We start from the raw sequence: 20,738 nt of genomic DNA on the forward strand, positions 1-20,738 counted from the left end.
TAGCACAGCAGTCTGAGATCAAACTGCAAGGTGGCAGCGAGGCTGGGGGAGGGGCGCCCGCCATTGCCGAGGCTTGAGTAGGTAAACAAAGCAGCCAGGAAGCTCGAACTGCATGGAGCCCACCACAGCTCAAGGAGGCCTGACTGCCTCTGTAGACTCCACCTCTGTGGGCAGGGAATAGCCAAACAAAAGGCAGCAGAATCCTCTGCAGACTTAAATGTCCCTGTCTGACAGCTTTGAAGAGAGTAGTGGTTCTCCCAGCACGCAGCTGGAGATCTGAGAATGGATAGACTGCTACCTCAAGTGGGTCCCTGACCCCTGAATAGCCTAACTGGGAGGCACCCCCCATTAGGGGCAGACTGACACCTCATATGGCTGGGTACTCCTCTGAGACAAAACTTCCAGAGGAACGATCAGGCAGCAACATTTGCTGCTCACCAATATCTGCTGTTCTGCAGCCTCCACTGCTGATACCCAGGCAAACAGGTTCTGGAGTGGACCTCCAGCAAACTCCAACAGACCTGCAGCTGAGGGTCCTGACTGTTAGAAGGAAAACTAACAAATAGAAAGGACATCCACACCAAAACCCCATCTGTATGTCACCATCATCAAAGACCAAAGGTAGATAAAACCACAAAGATGGGGAAAAAACAGAGCAGAAAAACTGGAAACTCTAAAAATCAGAGTGCCACTCCTCCTCCAAAGGAACACAGCTCCTCACCAGCAACAGAACAAAGCTGGACAGAGAATGACTTTGACAAGTTGAGAGAAGAAGGCTTCAGACGATCAAACTACTCTGAGCTAAAGGAGGAAGTTCGAACCCATGGCAAAGAAGTTAAAAACCTTGAAAAAAAATTAGACGAATGGCTAACTAGAATAACCAATGCAGAGAAGTCCTTAAAGTACCTGATGGAGCTGAAAACCAAGGCACAAGAACTACATGACAAATGCACAAGCTTCAGTAGCTGATTCAATCAACTGGAAGAAAGGGTGTCAGTGATTGAAGATCAAGTGAATGAAATGAAGTGAGAAGAGAAGTTTAGAGAAAAAAGAATAAAAAGAAACAAACAGAGCCTTCAAGAAATATGGGACTATGTGAAAAGACCAAATCTACGTCTGATTGGTGTACCTGAGAGTGACAGGGAGAATGGAACCAAGTTGGAAAACACTCTGCAGGATATTTTCCAAGAGAACTTCCCCAATCTAGCAAGGCAGGCCAACATTCAAATTCAGGAAATACAGAGAAGGCCACAAAGATACTCCTTGAGAAGAGCAACTCCAAGACACAGAATTGTCAGATTCACCAAAGTGGAAATGAAGGAAAAAATGTTAAGGGCAGCCAGAGAGAAAGGTCGGGTTACCCATAAAGGGAAGCCCATCAGACTAACAGCTGATCTCTCAGCAGAAACTCTACAAGCCAGATGAGAGTGGGGGCTAATATTCAACATTCTTAAAAGAATTTTCAACCCAGAATTTCATATCCAGCCCAGCTAAGCTTCATAAGTGAAGGAGAAATAAAATCCTTTACAGACAAGCAAATGCTGAGAGATTTTGTCACCACCAGGCCTGCCCTAAAAGAGCTCCTGAAGGAAGCACTAAACATGGAAAGGAACAACCGGTACCAGCCACCGCAAAAACATGCCAAATTGTAAAGACCAGTGAGGCTAGGAAGAAACTGCATCAACTAACAGGCAAAGTAACCAGCAAACATCGTAAGGACAGGATCAAATTCACACATAACAATATTAACCTTAAATGTAAATGGGCTAAATGCTCCAATTAAAAGACACAGACTGGAAAATTGGATAAAGAGTCAAGACCCATCAGTGTGCTGTATTCAGGAAACCCATCTCACATGCAGAGACACACATAGGCTCAAAATAAAGGGATGGAGGAAGATCTACCAAGCAAATGGAAAACAAAAAATGGCAGGGGTTGCAATCCTAGTCTCTGATAAAACAGACTTTAAACCAACAAAGATCAAAAGAGACAAAGAAGGCCATTACATAATGGTAAAGGGATCAATTCAACAAGAAGAGCTAACTATTGTAAATATATATGCACCCAATACAGGAGCACCCAGATTCATAAAGCAAGTCCTTAGAGACCTAGAAAGAGACTTAGACTCCCACACAATAATAATGGGAGGTTTTAACACCCCACTGTCAACATTAGACATATCAATGAGACAGAAAGTTAACAAGGATATCCAGGAAGTAAACTCAGCTCTCGACCAAGTGGACCTAATAGACATCTACAGAACTCTCCACCCCAAATCAACAGAACATACATTCTTCTCAGCACCACACCACACCTATTCCAAAATTCACCACATAGTTGGAAGTAAAGTACTGCTCAGCAAACGTAAAAGAACAGAAATTATAACAAACTGTTTCTCAGACCACAGTGCAATCAAACTAGAACTCAGGATTAAGAAACTCACTCAAAACCGCTCAACTACATGGAAACTGAACAACCTGCTCCTGAATGACTACTGGGTACATAACGAAATGAAGGCAGAAATAAAGATGTTCTTTGAAACCAATGAGAACAAAGACACAACATACCAGAATCTCTGGGACACATTCAAAGCAGTGTGTAGAGGGAAATTTATAGCACTAAATACCCACAAGAGAAAGCAGGAAAGATCTAAAATTGACACCCTAACATCACAATTAAAAGAACTAGAGAAGCAAGAGCAAACACGTTCAAAAGCTAGCAGAAGGCAAGAAATAACTAAGATCAGAGCAGAACTGAAGGAAATAGAGACACAAAAAACCCTTCAAAAAATCAATGAGTCCAGGAGCTGGTTTTTTGAAAAGGTCAACAAAATTGATAGACTGATAGCAAGACTAATAAAGAAGAAAACAGAGAAGAATCAAATAGATGCAATAAAAAATGACAAAGGGGATATCACCACCAATCCCACAGAAATACAAACTACCATCAGAGAATACTATAAACACCTCTATGGAAATAAACTAGAAAATCTAGAAGAAATGGATAAATTCCTCAACACATACACCCTCCCAAGACTAAACCAGGAAGAAGTTGAATCTCTGAATAGGCCAATAACAGGCTCTGAAATTGAGGCAATAATTAATAGCTTACCAACCAAAAAAAGTCCAGGACCAGATGGATTCACAGCCGAATTCTACCAGAGGTACAAGGAGGTGCTGGTACCTTTCCTTCTGAAACTATTCCAATCAATAGAAAAAGAGGGACTCCTCCCTAACTCATTTTATGAAGCCAGCATCATCCTGATACCAAAGCCTGGCAGAGACACAACCAAAAAAGAGAATTTTAGACCAATATCCTTGATGAACATCGATGCAAAAATCCTCAGTAAAATACTGGCAAACTGAATCCAGCAGCACATCAAAAAGCTTATCCACCATGATCAAGTGGGCTTCATTTCTGGGATGCAAGGCTGTTTCAACATACTCAAATCAATAAATGTAATCCAGCATATAAACAAAACCAATGACAAAAACCATATGATTTTCTCAATAGATGCAGAAAAGGCCTTTGACAAAATTCAACAATGCTTCATGCTAAAAACTCTCAATAAATTAGGTATTGATGGGACATATCTCAAAATAATAAGAGCATCTGTGACAAAACCACAGCCAATATCATACTGAGTAGGCAAAAACTGGAAGCATTCCCTTTGAAAACTGGCACATGACAGGGATGCCCTCTCTCACCACTCCTATTCAACATAGTGTTGGAAGTTCTGGCCAGGACGATCAGGCAGGAGAAGGAAATAAAGGGTATTCAATTAGAAAAGAGGAAGTCAAATTGTCCCTGTTTGCAGATGATATGATTGTATATCTAGAGAACCCCATCATCTCAGCCCAAAATCTCCTTACGCTGATAGGCAACTTCAGCAAAGTCTCAGGATACAAAATCAATGTACAAAAATCACAAGCATTCTTATACAGCAAGAACAGACAAACAGAGAGCCAAATCATGAGTGAACTCCCATTCACAATTGCTTCAAAGGGAATAAAATAGCTAGGAATCCAGCTTACAAGGGATGCGAAGGACCTCTTCAAGGAGAACTACAAACCACTGCTCAATGAAATAAAAGAGGATACAAACAAATGGAAGAACATTCCATGCTCATGGGTAGGAACAATTAATATCATGAAAATGGCCATACTGCCCAAGGTAATTTATAGATTCAATGCCATCCCCATCAAGCTACCAATGACTTTCTTCACAGAATTGGAAGAAACTACTTTAAAGTTCATATGGAACCAAAAAAGAGCCTGCATTGTCCAGTCAATCCTAAGCCAAAAGAACAAAGCTGGAGGCATCACGCTACCTGACTTCAAACTATACTACAAGGCTACAGTAACCAAAACAGCATGGTACCAGTACCAAAACGGAGATATAGACCAATGGAACAGAACAGAGCCCTCAGAAATAATGCCACATATATACAACCATCTGATCTTTGACAAACCTGACAAAAACAAGCAATGGGGAAAGGATTCCCTATTTAATAAATGGTGCTGGGAAAACTGGCTAGCCATACGTAGAAAGCTGAAACTGGATCCCTTCCTTACACCTTATGCAAAAATTAATTCAAGATGGATTAAAGACTTAAATGTTAGAACTGAAACCATAAAAACCCTAGAAGAAAACCTAGGCAGTACAATTCAGGACATAGGCATGGGCAAACACTTCATGACTAAAACACCAAAAGCAATGGCAACAAAAGCCAAAATTGACAAATGGGATCTAATTAAACTAAAGAGCTTCTGCACAGCAAAAGAAACCACAATCAGAGTGAACAGGCAACCTATAAGATGGGAGAAAATTTTTGCAATCTACTTATCTGACAAAGGGCTAATATCCAGAATCTACAAAGAACTCAAACAAATTTACAAGAAAAAAACAAACAACCCCATCAACAAATGGGCAAAGGATATGAACAGACACTTCTCAAAAGAAGACATTTATGCAGCCAAAAGACACATGAAAAAATGCTCATCACTTGCCATCAGAGAAATGCAAATCAAAACCACAATGAGATACCATCTCACACCAGTTAGAATGGCGATCATTAAAAAGTCAGGAAACAACAGGTGCTGGAGAGGATGTGGAGAGATAGGAACACTTTTACACTGTTGGTGGGACTGTAAACTAGTTCAACCATTGTGGAAGTCAGTGTGGCAATTCCTCAGGGATCTGGAACTAGAAATACCATTTGACCCAGCCATCCCATTACTGGGTATATACCCAAAGGATTATAAATCATGCTGCTATAAAGACACACGCACACGTATGTTTATTGTGGCACTATTCACAATAGCAAAGACTTGGAACCAACCCAAATGTCCAATAATGATAGACTGGATTAAGAAAATGTGGCACATATACACCATGGAATACTATGCAGCCATAAAAAAGAATGAGTTCATGTCCTTTGTAGGGACATTGATGAATCTGGAAACCATCATTCTCATCAAACTGTCGCAAGGACAAAAAACCAAACACCGCATGTTCTCACTCATAGGTGGGAATTGAACAATGAGAACACATGGACACAGGAAGGGGAACATCACACACTGGGGCCTGTTGTGGGGTGCGGGGAGGGGGGAAGGATAGAATTGGGAGATATACCTAAGGTTAAATGACGAGTTAATGGGTGCAGTGCACCAATAAGGCGCATGTATACATATGTAACTAACCTGCCTGTTGTGCACATGTACCCTAAAACTTAAAGTATAATAAAAAAAAAAGCATCATTCTGAATTTTGGAATTTTCAGCATTTTTGCACAATTTTTCTTCATCTTTGTGGATGTATTTACCTTTGATCTTTGAGGCTGATGACCTTCGGATGTGGTTTTTGTGTGGGCGTCCTTTTTGTTGATGTTGATGTTGTTGCTTTATTCTTTTTAGTTTTTCTTGCAACAATCAAGCCCCTTTTCTGCAGTTCTGCTGCAGTTTGCTGGAGATCCACTCCAGACCCTATTTGCCTGGGTATCACAAGCGGAGGCTGCAGAACAGCAAAGATTGCTCCCTGCTCCTTCCTCTGGAAGCTTCTTCCCAGAGGGTCACTGGCCTGATGTCAGCCAGAGCTTTCCTGTATGAGGTGTCTGTCGACCCCTGCTGGGAGGTCTCTCCCCGTCAAGAGGCACAGGGGTCAGGGATCCACTTGAGGAAGCAGTCTGTCCCTTAGCAGAGGTTGAGCACTGTGAGGTGCTTTTTGTCAGGATCTGCTGCTCTCTTTAGAGCTGGCAGGCAGAAACCTTTAAGTCTGATGAACCTGTTCCCATAGCTGCCCCTTCCCCCAGGTGCTCTGTTCCAGAGATGAGAGTTTTATCTATAAGTCCCTGACTGGGGCTGCTGCCTTTCTTTCAGAGATGCCCGGACCAGTGAGGAGGAATCTAGACAGTCTGGCCACAGCCACTTTGCCACGCTGTGGTGAGTTCTACCCAGTCCAAACTTCCCAGCCTCCTTAGCACTGTCTGGGGAAAACTCCCTACTCAACCCTCAGTTATGGCAAATGCCCTTCCCCCCAACCAATCTCAATCATCCCAGGTCAACTTCAGACTGCTGTGCTGGCAGTGAGAATTTCAACCCAGTGGTTCTTAGCTTGCTGGGTTCTGGGGGAGTAGGACCTGCTGAGCAAGACCACTTGGCTTCCTGGCTTCAGCCCCCTTTCCATGGGAGTGAATGGTTCTGTATTGTTGGAATTCCAGGTGCCACTGGGGTACAAACAAACAAACAAACAAACTCCTGCAGCTAGCTTGGTGTCTGCCCAAACAGTTGCCCAGTTTTGTACTTGAAACCCAGGGCCCTGGTGGTGTAGGCACAAGAGGGAATCTCCTTGTCTGCAGATTGCATAAACCATGGGAAAAGCGTAACGTCTGGGCCAGATAGCACAGTCCCTCATGGCTTCCCTTGGCTGGAGGAGGGTGGTCCCTAGCTCCTTGCCCTTCCTGGGTGAGGTGACACCCCACCCTGCTTCTGTTTGCCCTCTGTGTGCTGCACCCACTGCCTAACCAGTCCCAATGAGATGAACTGTGTACCTCAGTTGGAAATGCAGAAATCACCCACCTTCTGCATTGGTCTCGCTAGGAGCTACAGACTGGAGCTGTTCCTATTCAATCATCTTGTCAGATCTCCTGATTTCCAGTTTTATTCCACTGTGATTTGAGAGAGTGCTTGAAATTGATATAATTTCAATTTTCTTAAATTTATTGAGACTTGTTTTATGGCCTAGCATATGGTCTATCTTGGAGAAAGTTCTATGTGCTGTTGAATAGAATGTGTTTTCTGTGGTTGTTGGATGGAATGTTCTGCATATACCTGTTAAGTCCAATTGTCCCAAGGTATAGTTTAAGTCCATTGTTTCTTTGTTGACTTTCTGTCTCGATGACCTGTCTAGTGCTGTCAGTGGAGTATTAAAGTCCCCACTATTACTGTGTTGCTGTCGATCTCGTTTCTTAGGTCTCTTAGTAATTGCTTTATAAATTTGAGAGCTCCAGTGTTAGGGGCATATATGTTTAGGATTGTGATATTTTCCTGTTGGACAAGGCATTTTCCCATTACATAATTTCCTTTTTTGTCTTTTTTAATTGCTGTTGCTTTAAAGTTATTTTTGTTGATACAAGACTATTTAATCCTCTTCACTTTTGGTGTCCATTTGCATGAAATGCCTTTTTCCACCCCTTTACTTTAAGTTTATATATGAGTCCTTATGTGTTAGGTTAAGTCTCTTGAAGGCAGCAGATTGTTTTTTGGTGAATTCTTATCCATTCTGCAGTTTTGTATCTTTTAAGTGGAGCATTTAGGCCATTTACATTCAATGTTAGTATTGAGATGTGAGGTATCATTCCATTCATTGTGTTATTTGTTGCCTGTGTACTTTGATTTTTTGTTTTTTGTTTGTGCTTTTTTTATGTTTTTATTTTTTGAGATGGAGTCTTGCTCTATCACCCAGGCTGGAGTGCAGTGGTGCAATCTCAGCTCACTGCAACCTCTGCCTCCTGGGTTCAAGCCATTCTCCTGCCTCAGCCTCCCAAGTAGCTGGGATTACAGGCATGTGTCACCACACCTGGCTAATTTTTTTGTATTTTTAGTAGAGATGGGATTTCACCATGTTGGCCAGGCTGGTCTTGAACCCCTGACCTCAAGTGATCCACCAGTCTCAGCCTCTCAAAGTGTTAGGATTATAGGCATGAACCACCACACCCAGTCTTGCTTTTTAAATTGTACTTTTGTTTTATAGGTCCTGTGAGATTTATGCTTTAAAGAGGTTCTGTTTTCATGTGTTTTCAGGATTTGTTTCAAGATTTGGAGCCCCTTTCAGCAGTTCTTGTAGTTGTAGCTTGGTAGTGGCAAATTCTCTCAGCATTTGTTTGACTGACAAAGACTGTATCTTTACTTCAAATATAATGCTTAGTTTCACTGGATACTAAATTCTTGGCCGATAATTGTTTTGTTTGAGGAGGCTGAAGATAGGTCCCCAATTTTTTCTAGCTTGTAGGGTTTCTGCTGAGAAATCTGCTGTTAATCTGATAGGTTTTCCTTTATAGGTTACCTGGTGCTTTTGTCTCATAGCTCTTAAGATTCTTCCCTTCATCTTTAGATAACCTGATGAAAATGTGCGTAGGTGATGATCTTTTTGCAATGAATTTCCCAGATGTTCTTTGTGCTTTTTGTATTTGGATGCCTAGGTATCTAGCAAGGCCAGGGAAGTTTTCCTCAATTATTCTTCCAAATATGTTTTCGAAACTTTTAGATTTTTCTTCTTCCTCAGGAACGCGGATTATTCTTAGGCTTGGTCATTTAACATAATCCCAGATTTCTTGGAGGCTTTGTTCATATTTTCTTATTCTTTTTTTCTTTTTCTTTGTTGGATTGGGTTAATTTGAAGACCTTGTCTTTGAGCTCTGAATTTTTTTCTTCTACTTGTTTAATTCTATTCCTGAGACTTTCCAGAGCATTTTGCATTTCTATAAGTGGGTCCAGTGTTTCCGGAAGTTTTGATTGTTTTTTCTTTAAGTTATCTATTTCCTTCAATATTTCTCCCTTCACTTCTTGTATTGTTTTTTTTTTCTTTTTTATTTCCTTGCATTGGGTTTTGCCTTTCTTGATGCCTCCCTGATTAGCTTAACAACTAACCTTCTAAATTCCTTTTCAGGTAAATCAGGGATTTCTTCTTGGTTAGGATCCATTGCTGGTGAACTAGTGTGATTTTTTGGGAGGTGTTAAAGAGCCTTGTTTTGTTTTTGGTACAAACCAACTTTGTACCAGAGTTGGTTTTCTGGTTCCTTCTCATTTGTGTAGCCTCTGTCAGAGGGAAGGTCTAGGACTGAAGGCTGTTGTTCACATTCTTTTGTCTCACGGGGTGTCCCCTTGATGTAGTACTTTCCCCCTTTTCCTATGGATGTGGCTTTCTGTGAGCCGAGCTGCAGTGATTGTTATCTCTTCTGGATCTAGCCACCCAGCAAGTCTACCCAGCTCCAGGCTGGTACTGAGGGTTGCCTGCACAGAGTCCTGTGATGGGAACCATCTGTGGTTCTCTCAGCTGTGGTTACCAGCACTTGTTTTGGTGGAGTTGGCAGGGGGGTGAAATGGACTCTGTGAGGGTTCTTAGCTTTTGTGCTGGTTAGCTTTCTGGGAGGTTGCACTTTCTAGAGAGCATCAGCTGTGGTAGTATGGTGAGAAACTGGTGATGGGTGGGGCTCTAGAACTCTCAAGAGTATATGCCTTTGTGTTCAGATACCAGGGTGGATAGGGAAGGACCATCAGGTGGGAGCAGGGCTAGGTGTGTCTGAGCTCGGACTCTCCTTGGGCGGGGTCTTAGTGTGGCTGCTGTGGGGGATGGAGGTGAGGTTCCAAGCTCAATGGAGTTATGTACCTAGGAGGATTATGGTTGCTTCTGCTGAGTCATGCAGGTTGTCAGGGAAGGTGGGGGAAAGCCGATGGTCACAGGCCTCACCCAGCTCCCACACAATCCAAAGGGCCAGTCTCACTCCCATTGTGACCCCCTAACAGCACCCAGTCTGTTTCCAGGCAGTGGGCAAGCAGGGCCGAGAACTTTCTGCAGGCCACCCACCTTCCAGCTGTGAAAGAAAAGGGCTTTAGTTCTTCCCCGACCTGTGGAGTCTGCTCCCTGGATTCGCACCCTTCCGAAAGTTCTGGTCAGGAGGCTTCTTGACTGGTTCAAAATGTTACAAAGTTCAGCAGGAGATTTCTTTCTCCCTGTGCCATTTTCCTCATGCCTCTGGCTGCCCTCCTGAAAGATCCCTGTGTTACCAGGCAGGAATGGCCTATGTGGGGACCCAGCAAGCTCCCAGGTCATTTCCTGCTGCTTCCTCTACCCCTGTATTTTGCTCAGCTCTCTAAATTGACTCAGCTCCAGGTAAGGCTGGAATCTTCTCCCGCAAACTAGATCAGGTTCCCCAGTGGGGGTGTGTGTTTGGGGGCAAGAGTCTCCCTTTCCCACTTCCGCACTTTGGGCACTCACAGTATTTGAGGTATCTCCCGGGTCCTGTAGGAGCAGTCTGCTTTCTTCAGAGGGTCTGTGCGTCGTCTCAGGTTTCCTAATTTATTTCTGGGCTAAAATTCACGATGCGAGCCTCCGCATGCTGCTCTGTTCATCCTGATTCAATCTTGAGAGGCTGTTTCTAGGAATTTATTCATTTCCTCTAGGTTTTCCAATTTGTGTGCATAGAAGTGTTTATAATAGTATCTGAGGATCTTCTGTGTTTCTCTGGGGTTAGTTGTAATGCCACCTTTCTGATTGTGCTTATATGGATCCTCTCTCTCTCTCTTTTTTGTTAATCTAGCTAGTGGCCTATTGATCTTTTTTATCCTTTCAGAGAACCAACTATTGGCCTTGATCCTTTGTATGGATTTGTGGGTCTCAATTTCATTCAATTTATCTCTGATCTTAGTTTTTTTCTTTTACTCTGCTAGCTTTGGGTTTAGATTGTTCTTGTTTTTCTAGTTCATTTATGTATAATGTTAGATCATTAACTGTAGATCTTTTTAACTTTTTGTGATAATTGTTTAGTGTTTTACACTTCCCTCTGAACACTGCTTTTGCTGAATCCCAGAGATTTTGAAACGTTATATCTCTGTTTTCATTTATTTCAAAGAAGTTTTTTATTTATGCCTTGATTTTATTTTTTTACCCAAAAATCATTCAGGAGTAAGTTATTAAACTTCCATATAATTGTGTGGGTTTGGAGATCTTGGAATTGATTTCTATTTTTATTCCATTATGGTTTGAGAGTATGCTGTGTATGATTTCGATTTTTTTGAATTTATTTAGACTTACTTTGTGGCTAACCATGTGGTCAATCTTGGATTATGTTCTGTTTTCAAGTGAGAATAATGGGTGTTCTATGGTTAATGGGTGTAGTATTGTGTAGATAGATATCTACTGGTTCCCATTGGTCAAGTGTCAAGTTTAATTTCAAAATTTCTTTGTTAATTTTCTGCATCAATGATTTGTCTAATGCTACTTAAACAAATAAATAAATAAATAATCAAGTGAGATAACATTGAGCTTCATTAGGTTCCCAATAAATTATGGATATTTTCATTAAAAAAAAGAAGTTCTGATTGATTTCTTTTCAAGATCTTATTATCTCCTGCTTCATTTCTTTCTTTCTTTCTTTTTTTTTTTTTTTGAGAGAGAGCCTTGCTCTGTTGCCAGACTGGAGTGCAGTGGCGCGATCTCGGCTCACTGCAACCTCCGCCTCCCGGGTTCAAGAGATTCTCCTGCCTCAATCTCCCGAGTAGCTGGGACTATAGGCGTGTGCCACCACACCCAGCTAATTTTTGTATTTTTAGTAGAGACAGGGTTTCATCATGTTGGGCAGGATGGTCTTGATCTCTTGATCTTGTGATCTGCCCACCTCTGCCTTTCAAAGTGTTGGGATTACAGGCGTGAGCCACCGTGCCTGGCCATCCCCTCTTTCATTTCCTGGATTGCTTTAGAAGTTTCTTCATGTTGATTTTCAATGTTGTCTTACATCTCATTGAGCTTCCTTGACATTCATACTTTTGAATTCTTTGTCATTTCTAGGTTTCCATTTTTGTTTATGGACCATTGCTGGGTTGCTAGTGTGATCCTTTGGGAGGTGTCACTACATTCAGATTTTTCATGGTGCCAGAATTCTTGCGCTGGTTTGTTCTCATCTGGAGACTGGCACTTCTAATTTTTGTAATTATTTTCGTGTGGGTAGGAATTTTCTTTTTCCTTCTTTCCCTATAGTATTATTCTTGTTGTTTTCTTTTCCCTGCCCTTTTTGCTCCTCTCTTGAGAGTGTGACTGTAGAGAATTATGGGTAAGGTCCTTTTGCTTTGCTTCTATAACCCCATGCACTTCTCCTGGCAGATTTTACATTGGGCTGTGCAGTTCAATCTACAAACCAGTAGATGGTGTTTATAGGTAAGAGCTGGCTGCAGCCAACATGGTAGGTATATACTTGATGCTTTATTTACTGGCTGAAGCTGTCTGTTGCCTCAGGCAATGGGCTGATTCATGATATGCCATTGTTCTGAGCTTTCTGTTCTGCCCTGGGGGGTCAGGGGCCATGAAAGGTGGAGCTGGACCAGTGCCAAAGAAGAATCCAATTGGCAACTACCAAGTGCCCATAGGTGTGCCTAGGTGTGGAGCTAGGAAACCTCTTCAGCCCCACGTTTTCTGCATGGAATCAGGGATGGCCTAAACTAATCCAGGACATTGGGCACTCCAGATGCCTGGAGATCTGCCTGGGCTGCCTTCTGCACCATGATCTCTGCATAGCAGGAACGGGGTGACTCAAGCTGCTGAACTAGGCAAGCAGATGCTTTGAAGGCCTTGTTATTTATCTGGATGTGTAGCAGACAGGCCCTCCCTGCAGCAAGACCTCAGCCCAGGAAGCATGGGGCAGCTCAGGCTACTGATCTATGTAGGTAAGCTGGTGTTCCAAATGCCTGGAGATCTGCTTGGGTGTGAAACACAAAGGGCCTCTATGCACCAGGATCTCTGTTCAGGAAGGATAGGATAGTTCAGCCTGCCAATCTAGGTGAGCTGGTGCTGTAGATGCCTGGAGATCTGCCTGGGTGTGGAACAATGAGGGCCTTGTTGCACTATGATCTATGCTCAGGAAGAATGGGATAGCTCAGGCTGCTGAAGCAAATGAATGAGTGCTCCAAATGACTGGAGATCTGCCTGGGCATGGAGTGGAGAGAGCCCTGCTGTACCATGACTTCAGGGGACCAGGCTAGGGTACCCAGCAGTGACACACACAGATTAGTTCTAGTTCACCAAGCTGGCCCTAGCTGTCTCACTGCCCAGGAGAAACTGCAGCTGTAGCAGCTCTCCTCTTGTCCCAGGCTTGCAATGGGAGAAAGCACATATTCAGAACCTACTGCTGAGGTGCTTTCTACAGTTCTGGCTATAGAGGCCCCTACTCCACTTCAGAGCAAGCTCTAATCTCTGGCCCAGGATGAAAATGCCCACAGAACCACACTTCTGGATTATCAAAGAATGGCTGACTTTTTATGCACCTAGATTAAAAATGGCATCCTGCTCCTGGTCCCAGGTCTAAGAAAATGTCTACAGCTTTTCCCGGTGTCTTTCCCTCACAGTGTCTCCAAGCCTCTCCCCAGATTAGCTCCAGGGCTTGGGAGAAACCATGTGCTCTTCCTCAGCCTGGGTTACTGGGAACTCCAGTGGAAAGGTGAATCACAGAGGGAGGCTGGCTGCCCCTCTAATGTACTGGGGCTTCACTCGCTTTTATCATCTGGATGCCATAATGGGGACAATTTGCTACCATTCTCTCTGGGATCTGGGTGTCCTTCATGATTCCAGTGGTTCCCATTTTCCTTCTTGAATTAAATCTCACAGCGTTGATCTTTATGTACTGTCTTGCTATTTCCAAGTGGCTGAGGCATGCTGAAAGCCTCTAATAGACCATCTTGGAAAAAAGAAATAAAACCCTAAGCATTTCTTGTAGGGTCCAGTCAAGTGGTGATGGATTCCCTCAGCTTTTACTCATTTGGGAAATACTATATTTCTACTTCGTTCATGAAGGATAATTTTGATGGTGTGAAAGAAAAATATCTTGGGTCCCTCAAATCACTGAGCTAAGGGGAAAATTCAAGCTGGGAACTGCTCAGGGCAAATCTGCCTCCCATTCTATTCAAAGTCATCCTTCTCACTGAGATAGATGCATATTCTGATTGCCTCCTTTGGAAAGGCTTATCAGAAACTCAAAAGAATGTAATCATTTGTCTCTCACCTACCTTGACCTGAAAGCCCCCTTCCTGTGTTAGAAACGAATGCTTGTTCCTCTTGTTCCTCGGTGCTGTAAAGAAATAGCAGTCAAACATAAATTTAATTTTCTCAGAAAGACAATTTTTACTTCTATAGAAGGGTGCAACTCATGGATGGAGTAATGATGAGAGCACGCCTGGACAAGGGAGGGGAAGGGGTTCTCATTCCTGATACAGGTAGCCCCTACTGCTGTGTCATTCCCCTATTGGATAGGGTTGGACCACACAGTCTAAGTTAATTTTGATTGGCTATTTTAAAGAGAGCAGGGGTATAAGCCAGAGTAGTTTGGCAGGAAGGGTGGTTACAGAACAGGTGACCCAGGATGATTCAGGTAAGAGCAGGTGACCAGGGGTGACTCAGGACGGAGCAGGTGACCAGGGGTGACTCAAGATGGAGCAGGTAGCCAGAGGTGACTCAGGTCAAAGCAGGTGACCAGGAGAACAGATGTGAACTACTGATTAGAATTGGCGGGAAAGTTGTTTACTGAAACTAGAGGCAAGGGGGCGAAGAGAACCAGGAAGTTAAACTTTAAAATGGAGAATCAAAGAATAAGGTAGCTGAACATACTGACATATTGATTCTTTGAAGAGAAACTTGGAGTTCACTATATCTAACAATCCCCCATCTTGAATATTTACATTTCTTCTCTTCAAACTTCCTTAACATGTCTTGGCTTAGTTGTTCTGCTTGATAATCTAAAAGGAAAAGCTTCTCCGAATAAAGTGGAGGAGAATTAAGGAAGGTTTTAGTAAGTGCTGCTTTTATCAGTCTTTACACTAGGCCACGGATGCATGGTATGACACAACACCTAACAAGAATGAGTACACTTATTACAGCTAAAAATACAAAGGCTATGATTTCTTTCCATTTACTGAACCACCTTTCTAGCCACCCTGAGAAAGGGTTACCAACTCCAGAATTGTAGCTAATTCATTGGATAAAGCGGTAAGTCTTTGTAAGGCCCTTGTTATGCTCCTAGTGGGGGCAGTGTTGTTTGGGATGAAGGTACAACACTGGGTTTTAATCATAACACAAACACTGCCTTTTGCAGCTAATATTATATCTAGGGCCATTCTGTTTTCCCAGGCTATCTGGCTAGTGGCCCCAAATGTTCTGCTATCCCTTTGACAGCATCCCTGGTGTAATTAATAAACTGCTCTGATCATAATAGATATAATTTATCCAATCTACATTTTTATTAATTGTCACCCATGAAATTATTGACTTAAATCCTGCAGCTATTTGATCTCGGGCTTTAAATTCATTTGGTACTCCTCATGGAACTCCAATAGCATTTATATAAACATGGAGGTCAAAGGACCCATGTGAGGCACTTCTTTTACTATTTTCTTTTTTTATCGTGTTGACAGAATGCTAGGGTGAAAGGGATGGCCAATTGGACTAGAGCACGAGTGCTGCTCTAATTACTTGGCAGAATACCCAGCAATAGTAGCCTGCAATACCACCACACATCTGCTTGGGGATGAACAAGGGCAGACTGATGAGTAAGCTCTTGAAAAGGCTTGGTTTCACTGCACCCTGTTAAGTCTTCAGGGAATGCTAACTTTTCCCCCTGCCATGAAAGGCATGAGGTGAAGTTAATATCAGGGGCTGGAGGCCAGATGGCCCTCAGGGACTCACCCACAGGGCTCTTAACCTCAGGGAACAACAGTGAAAGAGTCTTACGTGACTCATCACCCTAGGCTGTGGGGTTCTGGAAAGAGCTACCATACAGCTCATGCCTGGTCCATGAGAGGACCACCCAAGTGGAAAGGGGACACTCCAGGTCTCCGGCCTGCCTGTTGCACAAGTGTAACAGTCGCTTTTGTTTTGCATGCAAACAGAATATTTAATCCATTCCAGCCAAGCATTTGCATCCTGATACCCTGTTTCAATTGCTATAGTTTGTTTTAAATCTTTAACCTCTACAACAACTACTTTGGTTTTTATCTTTGGGTAGATAACGAGAGCAGGTTTGGTTAGCGGAGGACTTAGACGAGGGAAAAGGGTGTGCATGAGGTGAGGAGGCAATGAAGACATTTCAAAGGATCCTATGAGACTCCTTCCCTGATACTTCTGCTCTTATACCATAGAAATGGCATAATGATGGGGAAGAACTCTGGGGAGCAGTGATGGTCATCTGTACTGGATTCCATTGGTTTAGCTGACAATGGGGAGGGTAACTCCTTTAGTAAAATGAATATATGGTTTTAAGAAACTGCAAGTACTAGTTGGGGCAGTCCATCCTTGCTCTTTAGTATTTTATAGATCATTGGGCCAACTTTGGCAGAGAAGCTCTGCTCTAAGAGGACAAGATTTCCAGTTTATACTGAAATCTTCATCAAACTCTTCTCAAACCAATTTATCCTAGTTAACAGATTTTTAGTCTGAGGAGAACTAGGAAGGATAAAGATACTTTTCTGAAGTAGAGAGTGGCCTCTGACTTGGCAAGTCTCCACAGGGTATAACAAGACAAGCATCAAATATGATAGTTTGAGGCAAAGTTGACTTGGTTACATTAATAACTAGGTGGTCAGCAATACAGCGAGGAAAGAAGGAGTAATAGAATAGATGAAAGAGAGTTAAATTTTTCTTAGCTTTAGTTTGGTAGGGTTTTCGCCTGGGACTATGGCCCATGACTCTGGAGGGGGTGGCACTTTCTTGACTGAGGTGTGATGGGTCCATCCTTTTTCTGATGTCTGGACTGAGGTTTCATTAGTTAGGAGCACTAGGTAAGGTCCTTCCCAGGCCAGTTCGAGTTTTTCCTTCTCTCCAACTTTTGACAAGGATGTGGTCCCCAGGCTGATGTTGGTGTGCTGGAAACTCTAGGATTGGCACCTGTGCTAAAAGACCTTTAGTTCTGAGGGAGGGGAAAGTGGAAGATAAACCAAGTATATAATTTCGGAGAAACTGATTTTTTGTTTCAAATGTAGGGAGATCAATAGTAGAATGTAGATAAGGCAATCCATAAAGCATCCCATAAAGGGATAATTGTATGTCTTTTCAGGGAGCAGTTCAGACTTTCAACTGTGTAATAGGCCTTCCTACTTTCCCTGATGAAGGTGGGTGCCAGGGAGTATGATATCCCCATGTTATATCCAGTATCTGGGCTAATTTCTTAATGACATGTGTAGTGAAATGAGTCCTATTATCTGAATCAATGTTTTCTATTAATCTAAACTTGGGTATAATATTTTCAACTAATGCCTTGACTACATTATTAGCAGTTGTACTTGAAAAGGAAATAGCTTCTACCCAGTGAGTAAGGTGATCTACTATTACTAATAAATACTTTAGATGACCAGTTGGAGGCATCTGTGTGTAATCAGTCTGGATACTTTGAAATGGCCTTAAGCCTGGACTCCTTCCCCCAAGGGGTAATCTTTTAGTAAGTGACTGTCTGTAACCTGTTTGGCTAGGGTATAAATTTCTATGCACCCATAAACTCTGAGGACTGCGTCACACATGGCTTGGGGCCCCCAGTGCGTCCCTTGATGCAGTTGGATAACATTTCTCTTTGGTTTAGCAATATCCATTTTCCTTCTGAATTTTCTTTAGCACCTATTTTTATTAGTTTTTAGACCAAAAAAATAGCATTTTATATTTGACAATGCTTTCTGTATGATTTTATACCAGAGAAGCTAAATTTTACCTTTATATTAGTATGCTATTAATGTTCAACTCAATTTTAATAAAATATTATAGACATTGTTTATCTAATTTTAATGTCTGACCATAAGGTAAGATTTTTATAGACTCTGTTTAATCCTTTATAATTTTTCTTTTTCTTTTCTTTTTTTTTTGAGTTGGAGTCTTGCTCTGTCGCCTAGGCTAGAGTGAAGTGGCATGATCTTGGCTTACTGCAAGCTCTGCCTCCTGGGTTCACGTCCTTCTCCTGCCTCAGCCTCCCAAGTAGCTGGGACTGCAGGGGCCTGCCACCACGCCTGGCTAATTTTTTTGTATTTTTAGTAGAGACAGGGTTTCAACATGTTAGCAAGGATGGTCTCGATCTCCTGACCTTGTGATCCACCGGCCTCGGCCTCCCAAAGTGCTGGGATTACAGGCATGAGTCACCGCGCCCGGCCTAATTTTTCTTGAAGAGCAGTTTCATGCTTTTAAAAAACCTGTCATGCTTCTATTTTAATGTCCAGTTCACAGAAAAATTGGATGATACCTTTTTAACTTTAGCCAATATGCTTACACACAAAATTTCCTTTACAATTAATGTTTCAAAACTTGCTTAAACCTTCAAAACAAAATATATATATATATTTAACCTTTTAATGTAGGTAAAAATCCATATTCTTATGCCTCATGATCCTTTTACCAAAAGTATATTTTACTTTCCTTACACGCCTTGCACATAAACTGTTTCTTCAATAGTTTTACATTCAGGAGGCCTAATTACTTTTAAATTATACAGCATTTCTTGCGTAAATTCCCTTTTATAACATTTTTCACGACTTTCACAATCTTTGACTTGCCTCAACTTTCTGACTTGTAAACATCCCTTTCTTTTTTTTTTTTTTTTTTTTTTTTGAGATGGAGTCTCGCTCTGTCGCCCAGGCTGGAGTGCAGTGGCGGGATCTCGGCTCACTGCAAGCTCTGCCTCCCGGGTTCACGCCATTCTCCTGCCTCAGCCTCCCAAGTAGCTGGGACTACAGGCGCCCGCCACTACGCCTGGCTAATTTTTTGTATTTTTAGTAGAGACGGGGTTTCACCGTTTTAGCCGGGATGGTCTCGATCTCCTGACCTCGTGATCCGCCCGCCTCGGCCTCCCAAAGTGCTGGGATTACAGGCGTGAGCCACCGCGCCCGGCCAAACATCCCTTTCTTTAAACAACCAGTTAATTTATTTTAGGACAAGAATTTACCAGTGGTAACATCAGTGGGCTAATTGTACCCTTCATTGGTCCCCGGGGTGGTGTATGCTGGCACCAGTGTCAGTGGGTCCAGGTAGGCCAACTTTTGGGCCTCCAGATGGCTTACTTGGATGACAATAGTAACTGCAGTGGTCTGGGCAGGTGGGTGTGTTCTCCGTCCACTGGTTAGCTGGCATGGCATGCATGATGGCAGTAGCTGGCATGGCGCACATGATGATACCACTCTGGATCCCAAGTGCTATGTGCGTTGTTAATGGTGGCTGAAATGGACTGGGCAGACCAGTCTCCATGCCCATAGATGGCATGTGCAGGTAGGTGCCAGCTGTGGGGGTAGTGACAGGGTGGGTAGGTTCAACCTCAAGGCTATGAGAGAAGTGCTCAGGTGCCAATGTTGGTGGAGTGAGCTGGTTAATCTCCAAGCCTCTGGACTGCATGCTTTGGCTTTTGGGGGTTCAAGCTTAGCTGGGTGGGCTTGACTTAGGGCCCCACAGTGGTATGTGCAGGTACTTGCTATGGTAAGTAGGGGTGAGGAGATTCCCAGGCCTCCAGGAGAATGCTCAAGAAGGGGGTGGCAGCAGTCGTACTACATTCCTGCCACTGAGGAGGATAGGGCCACCTTCAGTGATGGCAGCCTAGGCTGGTGGCTAGGGAACACCTGCCCTGCTCTTGCCTCAGCCCCATTGGCAGCAGCCCTCGCCTTCACTGCATTTTAGTCCCAGCAGCAGCAGCATCCTGCACTTTGTTCATGACTTAGCTCTAGTACTGCTGGGCCCAGGATAGTTCATAGCCTGTTGTGTGCTATGCTCTTAAAATGGCACCTTGCTGTAGATGCTTAGGAGTTGGGGGAAGTGGGGGACCTAGTACAAACTCATTCCCTGGAGCAGTTCTATTGTCTAATCTCCAGGCAGCTCCATATATTAGTTTCAGGGCTTGCATAGGTGATGGGGATCTCCCATGCCTGGGACTGCAGGAGTCCACAGTTGGAATGTGGTCCACTGTGAGTCTATTACTTACTCTTTCCCCACACTGGGGAGTCATTCCCGTCTCCCAGCTGATCTTGGCTGAGAAGAGTGCTTCACTTCCCTCTCCTTTCTTGCTTTAGGTATTTTTTTGTCACTTTTCTGTTGAATTCCAGTGTCCTCTTTTTAACGATCTATTCAAAGTGCAATTATCTACTCATTATTTTGGTGGTTCTTAGTGCCCAATGCATATTTCTGAATGAGGTAAAGAATCAGTGATCCATTTGCTTTTTACTGTATGTTAGGGGTTGAATGTTTCTTCCAAAACTCATGTTGAAACTTAATCCCCAATGTGGCAGTATTGAGAGTTGGGATATTTAAGAGATGATTGGATCATAAGGGCTCTGCCTGCAGGAATGGATTAATTCATTCATGGAGTAATGGACAAGTGGTTTAATGGATTAATGGGTTATCTTTGGAGGGGAACTGGTGGATTAATAAGAAAAGGAAGAGAGAGCTGGACTAACATATTAGCACACTCAGGTTTGTTGCCACGTGATGCCTTGCTCCTCCTTGGTTTGCTGCAAAAAGCCCACC

At 42.9% G+C, this 20,738-nt stretch overlaps 1 long non-coding RNA gene across 3 annotated transcripts in view, besides 2 other annotated features; it reads left to right on the forward strand.

Annotated features, from left to right (window-relative positions):
* The window catches only part of LANCL1-AS1 (LANCL1 antisense RNA 1), a 145,622-nt gene that overhangs the window by 26,300 nt on the left and 98,584 nt on the right, over nt 1-20,738 (forward strand). The gene's annotated exons all lie outside the window — the stretch shown is intronic.
* Nucleotides 9,513-10,712: an enhancer, noted in NCBI's record as "BRD4-independent group 4 enhancer chr2:211225248-211226447 (GRCh37/hg19 assembly coordinates)". NCBI's record gives its function as "activates an origin of replication core promoter dependent on BRD2, P300/CBP, MED14 and CDK7 cofactors, and independent of BRD4, by STARR-seq in HCT116 cells {active_cell/tissue: HCT116}" and the evidence as "EXISTENCE:reporter gene assay evidence [ECO:0000049][PMID:35650434]".
* Nucleotides 14,019-15,218: an enhancer, noted in NCBI's record as "P300/CBP strongly-dependent group 1 enhancer chr2:211229754-211230953 (GRCh37/hg19 assembly coordinates)". NCBI's record gives its function as "activates an origin of replication core promoter dependent on BRD2, BRD4, P300/CBP, MED14 and CDK7 cofactors, with strong dependence on P300/CBP, by STARR-seq in HCT116 cells {active_cell/tissue: HCT116}" and the evidence as "EXISTENCE:reporter gene assay evidence [ECO:0000049][PMID:35650434]".

This window comes from Homo sapiens, chromosome 2, assembly GCF_000001405.40.
Source record: "Homo sapiens chromosome 2, GRCh38.p14 Primary Assembly".
Lineage (NCBI taxonomy): Eukaryota > Metazoa > Chordata > Mammalia > Primates > Hominidae > Homo > Homo sapiens.